Source organism: Homo sapiens, chromosome 11 (assembly GCF_000001405.40).
Source record: "Homo sapiens chromosome 11, GRCh38.p14 Primary Assembly".
Taxonomy (NCBI): domain Eukaryota; kingdom Metazoa; phylum Chordata; class Mammalia; order Primates; family Hominidae; genus Homo; species Homo sapiens.
Window position 1 is genome coordinate 110,266,714 of NC_000011.10, and position 12,824 is coordinate 110,279,537.

Genomic DNA, 12,824 nt, shown 5'->3' on the forward strand with positions numbered 1-12,824 from the left:
CATTCCACCACACCTAGTTAATGTTTTTTTTTGTTTTGTTTTGTTTTGTTTTCTGTAGAGGCAGGGGTCTTGCTATGTCGCCAAGGCTAATCTTAAACTCCTGGCCTCAAGTGATCCTCCCACTTCAGCCTCTCAAAATGCTGGGATTATAGATGCAAGCCACTGCGCTTGGCCCTTGGTTTGTTTGTTTGTTTGTTTGTTTTGAGACGGGGTCTCACTCTGTCACCCAGGCTGGAGTGCAGTGGTGCAATCTCAGTTCACTGCAACCTCCACCCCCACCCCAGGCTCAAGTGATCCTCCCACCTCAGCCTCCCGAGTAGCTCGGACCACAGGCATGCACCACCAAACCTAGCTAATTTTTTATATTTTTAGTAGAGATAGGGTCTCACTATGTTGCCCAGGCTGGTCTTGACCTCCTGAGCTCAAGGGATCTGCCCACCTCAGCCTCCCAAAGTGTTGGGATTATAGGCATGAGCCATCGTGCCCAGCCTGTTTTTTAAAAAATAATGTTAAAACATTTGGCAGGGCAGGGTGGCTCACGCCTATACCAGCACTTTGGGAGGCCAAGGCAGCTAGATCACTTGAGGCTAAGAGTTCAAGACCAGCCTGGTCAACATGGTGAAACCCCATCTCTGCTAAAAATACAAAAATTAGCCAGGTGTGGTGGTGCACACCCATAATCCCAGTTACTCAGGAGGCTGAGACAGTAGAATTGCTTGAGCCCAGGAGGCAGAGGCTGCAGTGAGCCGAGTTCGCGCCACTGCACTCCAGCCTGGGTGCCAGAGCGAGACTCCGTCTCAAAACACACACACACACACACACACACACACACACACACACACACACACACACAAATAATCTTAAAACATTCCAGGCTTTTGGTTTCAAGACAGCAAACTGAACCCTTCCATTTACTTTCCCACTCTTGAAAATTTTCACTGAAATGACAGAAAAAAAGAAAAAACACTGGCTGGGCACAGTGGCTCACATCTGTGATCCCAACACTTTAGGAGGCCAAGGCAGGAGGAGCTCAGGAGTTTCAGAACAGCCTGGGCAATGTAGGGAGACCTTGTCTCTTAAAAAAAAAAAAAAATTAGCTAAGTAGTCAAGCAAATCTGTAGTTCTAGCTAATCAGGAGGCTGAAGTGGTAGGATCACTTAAGTCCAGGAGGTCAAGGCTGCAGTGAGCTGTGATTATGCCACTGCACTCCAGCCTCAGTGACAGAGCAAGACCCTGTCTGAAAAAAAAGAAAAAAAAAATTAAAAATAAGAAAAAAGCATTTAGAAAATGTTACCATCAAAAAAGCAAAAAGTGGGCCAGGCACGGTGGCTCACGCCTGTAATCTCGGCACTTTGGGAGGCTGAGGCAGGTGGATCACAAGGTCAAGAGTTCAAAACCAGCCTGGCCAACATGGTGACACTCTGTCTCTACTAAAAATACAAAAATTAGCCGGGCATGGTGGCAAGGGCCTGTAATCCCAGCTACTCAGGAGGTTGAGGCGGAGAACTGCTTGAACCCGGGAGGCGGAGGTTGCACTGCATTGAGCTATCGCACCACTGTACTCCAGCCTGGGTGACAGAGTAAGACTCTGTTTCGGGGAAAAAAAAAAAAAAAAGCAAAAAGTGAGAAATTTCTAGAAGATGTGGAATATAAAGTCTCATACTGATAATGCAAAAGCTGATCAATGTCAAACAATGAAAAATTCAATGTGGACAAAAGGAGATTCCAAATAATCTAACTTTGGTAAAAGACAGATTGCCCCAGCAGTGCCATAGAAAACATTCAAGCTTGGAGCGGCAGGAGTAGTAATGTACAGGTCAAAAGCAGCAGAGAGAAGTATAACAAAGCAGCTGGGCTCAGCTTCTGCCTCCACACTCTGTGAGATTCACAATGGTAAGTAAAAGGGAGATGCCCCACAGTGGGCACAGGGGATAATAGCTTAACTAACTTTAGACTATTACACAAATACAAGGAACAAGAAAGCTCAGCTGTGAAATTCCCTAAAAGGCCCTGTCTCCCCAGTGGTTCTCTACTTCTTCAGAAGGTGCTCCTAGAATGTTTTTTTTTTAATTAATATATTTTAGTGAGGCTGTCCTTTAAGCTCCCATAAACTTCTGATCACATACTTTTAGAAGTGAATCTGCTTGGGCACGTAACTATAACATAGGTATATTTATTTACAAGTTACATACTATCATGCTAATACACTATAAAGCATATATTTTTAAAAATGTTTAAAAATACATATTATATATACATATATATATATTTTTTTAATTAATTTATTTATTTTTTTGCCCAAACTGAAGTGCAGACCGCAACCTCTACCTCCTGGGTTTCAGCAGTTCTCCCACCTCAGCCTCCTGAGTAGCTGGGATTACAAGTGTGCACCACCACACTCAGCTAATGTTTGCATTTTTAGTAGAGACAGTTTTGCAATATTGGACAGGAAAAGGTACAGTAAAAATATGGTATTACACTCTTGAACTCCTGACCTCAAGTAATCCTCCCGCCTTGGCCTCCCAAAGTGCTGGGATTACAGGTGTGGGCCACCAAGTCTAGCCTAAAAATATATTTTAATACTTCTTTCACCGTAACAGATGTTCTTGCACACTCTTTGGGGGTATGAACACTCTTTACACTAATCCCACAAGAAGCAGCTAAAGGAGAAGGCTAGTCAAGAAAAAAGTCAGCAAGAAGCAAACCAAAGGACTTCAAGCACTCAGAGTCCCCAAACACAGAGCAGCTGGCCTCGATTTAACATCATAATCAGACATGGGGCTTTACTACACATGTACTCATGTAGCTATGTGCTCTCATTTTAGAGGACCCAGTTTACCCCTGGCTTGACCTGAACCTGCCAGCTTATCCCACACACACTACATACAAAAGTAAAGTCTGCATTTTTCGATCCTTGCATTTGAGTTCAAGGAAAGTTCATCACTGCATTTGAGTTCAAGGAAAGCAGTCAGGAAATAGAACAGGGACTAAAGAACTGCTGAGAAGAGTCCATAACAGATAACAATACTCAATAATCTAGACCAGGCTGGACGGTGGCTCACGCCTGTAATCCTGGCACTTTGGGAGGCCGAGGGAGGCGGATCACTTGAGCTCAGAAGTTCAAGACCAGCCTGGGAAACATGACGAAACCCCATCTCTACCAAAAATACAAAAAAAAATTAGCCGGGCATGGTGGAGCACACTTGTGGTCCCAGCTACTCAAGAGGCTGAGGTGGGAGGATCGCTTGAGCCTGGGAGGCAGAGGTTACAGTGAGCCGAGATCGCACCACTGCATTCCAGCCTGGGGCGACAGGAGTGAGAGCCAATCTAAAAAAAAATTTTTTTTTAATAAAGAAATAAGTAATAATAACCTGGACCATTTACAATATGAACTGTGTGTGCATGTGTGCGTGTGTGTGTGTGTAGTCAGGGTTGCTTAACGATGGGGATACATTCTGAGAAATGCATCGTTAGACAATTGCATCATCGTATGAACATCAGAGTATACTTAAACAAACCTAAATGGTATAGCCTACTACACACCTAGACTATATGGTACAGCCTGTTGCTCCTAGGCTACAAACTTGTACAGCATGTTACTATATTGAATACTGTAGGCAACTCTAACACAACTGTTAAGTATTTGTGTATTTAAACGTATCTAAACATAGAAAAGGTATAGTAAAAATATGGTATTACACTCTTACGGGACCACTGTTGCATAAGTGGCCCGTCACTGATCGAAATGTCATTATGCGGCACATGACACTGTATTTATCTACATAAATAGAAAGAGATATACACAAAACCATCAAATACTGTTCTACGCACTTTACATAGATTTTCATTTAACTCTCACAATAAACCTCTGAAGAAGTAATGTTACCATCATCCTAATTGTACAAACGAGAAAAATAAGACAAAGAGATTAATTTGTCCAAAGTCAAACAGCTGCAACTACAACTATTGCAGGCAGTGTGACTCCAGTGCCCACACTTCTAAACCACTGTACATCACTGCCCTATAATAAATGGTTTCATTTTCCTGTATCCAAGTGAAAGTAATTCTACTTAATAAAAAACAAGTTTTATTTCTCAGTATACAATACCAAAGAGGATAACTTGCTGATTAGTTTTTGGCTGCCACAAACATCTCACTTACTATAAATAACATTTCAATTTGCTATGAAGTACAATAAATGCTAACTCTATTCACATTTTTTTCAAATAAGATAGACTGTATATTCACAAACAGGAGGCACAGAAGAATCAACAGAAGTGGATATTATACCAGAACAAAAGTGGTTTGGAAAAAAGAAAAAAGTGGAGATTGGTTCACAAGGTGTGGTGAACTTAGCTCTTTATGATTTTGCTTTAAAATTTTGCACATCCACACAAAAAGCTTTTCATGATCCAAAAAGGCCTTATCAGGACTTTTAAATTTATGAATTACCAAATCAGGAGATTAAGTATATTACTTGTCAGGAGAATAAACAACTTTAGAGAATTTAGAATTTTTATTTCATCAGATTTGAATCTGTATTTGACAGAATGACAACTAACAAAACCAAAGTATCTAGTGTTACTTACTGCTGAAATGCTAGAAACTCTTTCCTTCTTTAAGATCAAGTTATTCTGACTACAGGCTATTGCTCTCCTGCTCCTAAGAAAAAGTGTACGTGAAGTTTATATAAAAGTTATCCTCCTCTAAGTTTCATGCCACACATGATATATACCACCTTCCTCTGTCTTTGCAACAGTTTCTTCATGTTCTTACTTAATCCCTGGGGCCAATCCCTTACCTCGTTTTCTCAGCAAAACTTGCTTACATTGCAATACAACATTATCTGGGAAGCTTAAATTTTAAAATACTGATAATTTAGAGTAGGCCCAGACAATTAAATCAGCATCTCTGGAAGGGGTTTCCAAGCACTGTCTCCTTTCCCTTTTTTTAAAGCTCCACAGGTGACTAATACGCACTCAAGACTGAGAAGAAAGATAAGATCAGTAGTCCCAGTTCCTTAACATACCGGATACCTGACCTCCATATCCCAACCTTTGCCTCATACATTATGAACCTATGACACCAAATTGTTGTTAGGGATCTCTGTATAGCCTATACAGGTTGAGCATCCCTAATCCAAAAATCCAAAATCCTAAATGCTGCAAAATCTGAAACCTCTTCAGTACCAACATGACTCTGCAAATGGAAAGTTCCACACCTAACCTAACGTGATGGGTCGCAGTCAAAACTCAGTATGCATAAAATTATTTAAAGGATTTTATAAAATTACCTTCAGCCTATGTGTATAAGTTGTACACAAAACATAAATGAATTTTGTGTTTAGACTTGGGTCCCATCCCCAAGATATCTCATTATACATATGCAAATATTCCAAAATCTAAAAACATCCAAAATCTTCTGGTCCCAAGCATTTTGGATAAGAGATGCTCTCAACCTGTAATTCCCTATGCCTTTCACTCCTGCTGTTCCTTCTGCCCAGGATTCCTACTCATTTCACTCAACAACTTTGTGGATTATCCTTGAATCCCTTTTAGTCACCATTACAATGATTCTCATAAATGTTAAATAAATACCTGCTGAAAATTATTTTCAAGAAGTCCTCTCCCACAAATGTAGGAATGTGAAAGAATAAAGAATATCCCTACTGCTGTAGTAGGGATATCTGAATAGCTACTATGAAAAATTCCAAGTGGTACACTGTTGGATTATCAGCAAAAGTACAGAAAAACAGAGAAAGAGGTATGCAACAACATTCACACTATGGTGTCAAAAGTTGCATATTTCATGCAGTGTAATACCTGGTCAAAAAGTTGTTTGCCAGTTGTATTGGGCTGAATGGCAAATTCCAGCTCAGCATCCATTGTAGTTACTCTTACGTTGATCTGTAATAAAAATAAAAGGAATAATAAGTAGAAGAGAAGTTATTAGGCGTGAGAAAACTTTTATGATTTTCTTTATTAAAGTGATAAAGTTTTATTTTAATCACAAGAAATCTTAAATCTATTTGAAAAACAAAGAGCTTATAAAGTCCTCATTTAGGAACATCTATTGAATACTTAACATATACTGGGCACTAAGCTATGGGCTTTCCATACTCTCATTTAGCCCTTGCTATAATACTAGGAGATACTACCTTTATTTCTACAGAAACGCAAAGAGTTTCCATTATTCACCTAAGGACACGTGGATATTAAAAGGCAGAGCAAGAGCTGGACATGGTGCCTCACATCTTTAGTCCCAGCACTTTGGAAGGCCAAGGTGGGAGGATCTCTTGAGGTCAGGAGTTTGAGACCAGCCTGGGGAACACAGCAAGACTATGAAAAATTTAAAAATTAGTTGGGTGTGGTGGCATGTGCCTGTTATTTCCAGGAAGCTGAGATGGGAGGATCACTTGAGCCTAGGAGTTTGAGGGCTGCCGTGAGCTATGATTGTACTACTGAACTTCAGCCTGCACAACAGAGCAAGACCCTGCCTCCAAAAACAAAGCAAAACAAAAAAGGCAAAGGAGGTATTTAAATTGAGGTCTAACTCCAAATTCTTTGAATGTGATTCACTATCCCATATTTCTTTCAACATGAAAATCAGATTTCATTTTATTCATACTGTAAATACATTATTCGCTTTAGGAAAGCATTTATCTACAGTGCTTTATTTGCTAGATTCTATTTTTTGTTGTTTTTAGAGACAGGGTCTCACTATGTTGTGCTCAGGCTGGAGAGCACTGGCCATTCATGCGTGCAATCATGGCACACTGCAACCTTGATCTCCTGGACGCAAACCTATACTCCCACCTCAATCTACCAAGTAGCTAGGAGCACAGGCGTGTGCCGCCAGGCCTAGCTCCAAACTCTATTTTAAATAATAATTTTATTGTGTAAATACCTAATATCTCAAAAACTTAACACGCCTTACCAAAATAATTTTACCACAGAATAGCATCTTCACCTAGAATTCTTCACATGATCCAAATATATCTTTTTAGCTTTTTAAATTATTTTATCTTTTATTAACTTATTTCTCCTTTAATTTTCCCACACTTCATTTGCTGTTTCTGTATCGATTTTCTAACAATCTTTACTTTTCCCTTAACCAGTATAAACCTGTAGCGATTCCTACTAACACTGTTTCTGTAACAACTGTATTTAAAATTTTATATTAATACGTATTACTGCATTTGTTTTTATGTATCTTTTTCCATCAGCCTGTAGGTTTACTGAGGACACAGCTTGTGCCATTTTATCTAACTTTAACTCACACTATAAAAACTCTAAATCAGACTTCTTATTTCCCCATATGTCTAACAATCACAACCTCAGCACATTATAGCTTTCACCTGGAATAACTTCTGTAATCAGATCTTACAGATTCATCCTTCTTTAAAATAATCTTATTTTTTTCTTTTCTAAAACTGTATCTTATTAAGAAATGATATATACAAAACATCTATCATATATAAACAATGAAGAATAATAAAACGAAACCCATAAATCTACCATCCAACTGAATAACAAGAAATGGTAAATAATGTTGCATATACCACTGTTATTTGTTCTTTGTAAATACCAACAGGTAATCACTAACCTAAATTTTGTTATTATCTTGCTTTTAAAAAAATGGTTCTAACGTAAATATATGTATCTGTTTGTAAAATAGCTTCATTTTTCTTGATTTTTAGCTGTATTATAACTGCACGATATTTGTTGATCAAGTTTTCTTTCTTGATGTGGGCAATGCTTACATGGGTATATTCACTTTACGAAAATTCATCAACTACACACTTTTTTTTCCCTGTTGCCTAGGTTGGAGCACAGTGGCAGAATCCCAGCTCACCGCAGCCTCAACCTCCCGGGCTCAAGCGATCCTACCGCCTCAGCCTCTTGAGTGGCTGGGACTACTGTTACTACACACTTCTCATATATTCTGTTTGGTATGTATATTCTACTTCAATAAATTCTTTAAAATTGCACTATACTAGTTTAATTTTTCACCATATGTTTCTAAGATTCATTGATGTTTTTGTAACTGAACTTTCACTGCTATGCAACATTCTGCATGTGGCCAAACAAACATTTACTCACCCATTTTCCTGTCAATGAACACTGTTTCCAATTTTTTGGCTATTAAGAACAATACTGCTATGAACATTCTCGTACATGTCTCCGAGTGTCAGAATTTCTCCAGAATATACTCAGAATTCTTGAGTAATGAAGTGTGCACACCTTCTACTTTTACCACATAATGCTGAATTGTACAATGTAACTGTGTCAATGTATACTCCTGACAGCATTGTATAAGAATTCTTGCTTTTCTGTATTTCCAGGAACAGTGGGCATTATCAGATTTATTAATATCTGACAATTCAGTTAGCAGAAAATGGTATCTCAATATGGTATTAAAGTGGGATCCTCGATTGCTGATGACATCCACATTTCTGTACATGGCATGTGCATACAGAATTTTAAGATGGCCCCTGGTGTCATGCTCATGATTATGTTGCATTACATGATTAAAGGGATTTTGCAGAAGTACTTAAGATTACTAATCAGCTGACTTTAGAACAGGAAGATTATCTAGGAGGGCCTAAGCTAATCAATTTATCTGGCTGGTTGCAGAATAAGTTATACCTTGATTTCAGCCTTATAAGACTTTGAAGCAGGGAACTCAGTCACATCATCCCAGATTTCTAACCTATAAAACTGTGGGATAATACATGGGTGCTGTTTTATAACACTAAATTTGTGGTAATTTGTCATAGACCAATGGAAAACTAGTACAATACGTTTAACTGACCACTCATTCTCATCTGCGAATGTTCACGCATACGGCTTATTTTTCTATTGGGTTGTTTTTTCTTACTTTAACGTAGGAAGTCTTTATATATTCTTGATACTGATCCTTTGTCAGTTATTTCTTACAAAAGAACCTCCCATATTGTGGTTCGTCATTTTACTTTCTCCATAGTGTCCTTTATGATAAACTGACATTCTTAATTTTAATGTTGAATTTATAAATATTTTACACACAGATACCAGTTTTTTACCATCCTTTTTTTTTTTTTTTTTTTTGAGAAAGCATCTCACTCTGTCACCCAGGCTAGTGTGCAGTGACGTGATCTCAGCTCACTGCAACCTCTGCCTTCCAGGTTCAAGTGATTCTCCTGCCACAGCCTCCCAAGTAGCTGGGATTACAGGCATGCACCACCATGCCTGACTATTTTTTGTATTTTTAGTATAAACGGGCCAGTATAAATGTTGGCCAGGCTGGTCTCAAACCCCTGACCTCAAGTGACCCACCTGCCTCAGCCTCCCAAAGTGTTGAGATTACAGGAATCAGTCACTGCACCCAGCCAATTTTTTGCCATCCTTAAGAAATCCTTCCATACTCTGGAGTCATAAGGATATTCATATATTTCCTATTTTGATTTTCACAATTTTCAATGATTTTTGCTTATGATGTTAGAGGTCCAATTTCATTTTTTAATCTCCATATGAATGAAAATAATACAGGGTTTTTTTTTAATCCCAACATAATTTATTAATTAGTTCATTTATTCTCCAAAGTCTGTGCTGTCACAAATCAAGTATCTGCATAAGTGTGGATCTAATTTTGTTCCACTGGTCAATTAAACTACTCAATATCATATTGTCTTAATTAGTACTTCTTTAAATAAGTCTTGATATGTGGTAGGGCAAGTCTCCATTATTCTTCAGAACTATTTTGACTAGTCTTGGATCATTATCTTTGCTCTTGGTTCCATATAAAACTGTGAACTTTACAAAATACACCATTTATGATTTAGTATTGGAACAACACGAAATTATTTGGTATCTTTGGGTAAGAATTAACATTTTTATTAATATAGACTCTATACATGACTATGGTTTTCTCACTGTACATTGACTTAGATCTCCTTTAATGACTTTCAAAATCTTTTGAAAGAAGTGCTTATAATTTGCTCCATATAAATCAGTTTACTCATTTGTTAGGTATTTTCTCCTAGATCATTATGGCTTTGTGGGTATTGTAAATATGGATCCACAGTTCCTATTCCATAATTTTGACATCCTAAAAGCACGGAAACCTGAAGATGAGTTAATTTTGAGGAAAAATCTGACATGAAGTGATATAAGACTATCACTTGTAGTGAATTAATTTATTCCACTTCACGTGACTATTCACTCATTAAACTATAGAAATACAAATGTTTTAGAGGTGATGCCATAGACCTTGATGGGAGTTTCATGTTATAATGACATATGCACATAATATATCGTATATTCATCTTTCTAAAATCCAAAAACTTCCACATTCTGAAACTTATCTAGCTTCAAGAGTGTTTTCTCCACAAGGCAAGTTCTATACTTCCAGAATCTTTAATGAATCAACAACACACAATTGATATCCAACTGCATATAATTTTGACTCTTTAAGGAACAATAAACACTCTCCACTCAATTATACTGGCAAAGAGTTTTCCAAAGTAGCTGTAAACGTTCACATTCCTAACAAAAATACAATAAAGTCGCAGCTGCTCCACATCCATATCTACACTGGATTATTACCAGTCTTTTTTTTGTTGTTATTTTTTGTTTTGTTTTTTTGAGACAAGCCTCACTCTGTCACCCAGGTTGAAGTGCAGTGGTGCGATCTTGGCTCACTGCAACCTTCGCCTCCTGGATTCAAGCGATTCTCCTGCCTCAGCCTCCCAAGTAGCTGGGATTACAGGAATGTGCCACAATGCCTGGCTAATTTTTGTACTTTCAGTAGAGATGGGGTTTCACCATGTTGGCCAGGCTGGTCTCGAACTCCTGACTTCAAGTGATACTCCCGCCTCAGTCTCCCAAAGTACTGGGATTACAGGCGTGATTTACCATGCCCGGCCTACCAGTCTTTAATATAGCTTCTTTTGTGAAATATCTGCTCAAATATTTTGTCCACTAAAAAAAAAAAAAATCTGAGTTGTGTTATTATTCAACTGTAAAAGAACTTTATATGGCAATTATTTTCTCCCACTGTCTTGCCTTTATATGTTTTTATTGCTGTCTTTCAAGAGCAAAAGTTTTTAATTTTGATTAAGTCCAACTTTTTCTTAATGGTTCAAATTTTCTGTGTATTACATAACAAATTTTCGCCTACTCTAAGATCACAAAAATTTTTTCCTATGTTTTCTTCTAGATGTTTTACAGTTTGAGCTTTTGCATGTAGGTCTATAATCCATTGAGTTTATGTTTGTAAATTGTGAGACAACAGTCAATGTTCATGTTTTTCTGTATGGATAACCCTTTGTGCCAATACCATTTGTTGAAAATAATTATAGTTCTCCAGTAAATTGTGTGACACCCTTGTCAAAAATCTAATGAATACATATGTGTATATGTGTGTTGGTGTATTTTCATTTCACCGATCCTATTAATTTATTCTTTCACCAATACCTCAATGTCTTATTTTAGTGGCTTAAGAATAAACCTTGAAATCCAGGAGTGTAAGTTTTCTTTTTTTTTTAATTGCTTTAGCTACTCTGTACACATTTTGGCATATCCATATATTAATATATTTTAGAATCAGCTAGTCAATTTTAATCAAAGAAGACTGCCTGGATTCAACTGATTGGAACTGAATTTCATTTACGAACACTTTTATGGAGAACTGACATCTTATAAAGATCTCTATACATATTTTATAGTTCTCTATGTATTTAAATCTTTAATTTCTCATAGCTGGTTTTCAGTGTAGAGATCTTGCACAGCATCTGTACATTTATTACTAAGTGTGTCATGTTTTTTAATAACTAAATAACCAAACTAGTTTTATATAAAAAAGGCCATTGATTTTTTTTTAATACAATCTTGCATCTGGCAATCTTGCTAAATTCAGTTATTGGTTCTAGTATTGTTTTATAGATTTATGAGGATTTTCTACAGAAACAATCATGTCATCTGCAAATAGGAAATTTTCTTTTTGATCTTTATGCCTTTTTTTAATTCTTCTCTCCCTCTAACAATGCATACTTTGCGACCTGCTGAGTCTTTAAGTCATTCTGAAGTGTTATCCGTGCTAGAAAATCCCAAAAATGATAACTAATGACTTTCTTTAAAATTATAATTGGCCAAAAGAAACATTCAAAAAAAAAAAACAACTCACTTTATTAGATTAAGAAAAGAACATTTACACCTTAAGAATAAAGGAATCCTTAGTCAAGAAGAACCAAATAACTATAAAACTAAGTAAAATAATCACATGTGTACCCTTAAATAAAAAAAATCTAAGACTATATAATATCAGTATGGGTAACACTTGCATCTAAACTACAATTATGAGAAAACTAAAATGCATAGATCTTCCTGACCTCTCATTATTTCCTCCCATTTAACAATGTTACCATTTACTGGGCACTAAATATATATCAGATTCTTCTAACCCTTACCATACTCCCTTGGGTAACTAATTATATCCCATTTTATATGCAAGGAAATTAAAAATTGGACAGATTGAGCTAAATTAACAAAGGTCACCCAGATTGGTGGCAGAACCAAGGTAACAACTAAGACAGTTTGACCTTAGAACTCATGACCACATAATACCATAGTATTATGGTCTGGCCAACATGGTGAAACCCCATCTATACCAGAAATACAAAAATTAGCCGGGCATGATGGCAGGTGCCTGTAATCCCAGCTACTCAGGAGGCTGAGGCAGGAGAATCACTTGAACCCAGAAAGGAGAGGTTGCAGTGAGCCGACATGGTCCCACTGCGCTCCAGCCTGGGCAACAGAGCAACACTGTGTTTCTAATTAATTTGG

At 37.3% G+C, this 12,824-nt stretch overlaps 1 protein-coding gene across 19 annotated transcripts in view; it reads right to left on the reverse strand.

The window, feature by feature from the left end:
* RDX (radixin) overlaps positions 1 to 12,824 on the reverse strand; it is a 121,693-nt gene that overhangs the window by 91,792 nt on the left and 17,077 nt on the right. For 17 of the 19 annotated variants that reach the window (NM_001260493.2, NM_001440510.1, NM_001440505.1 and 14 more), the window contains one exon: positions 5,823 to 5,906. The exons of the other annotated variants lie outside the window; for them this stretch is intronic. In NM_001260493.2, coding sequence (NP_001247422.1) covers positions 5,823 to 5,906 — 84 coding nt within the window. The remainder of the gene's footprint in view (positions 1 to 5,822; positions 5,907 to 12,824) is intronic. 19 annotated transcript variants of the gene reach the window in all.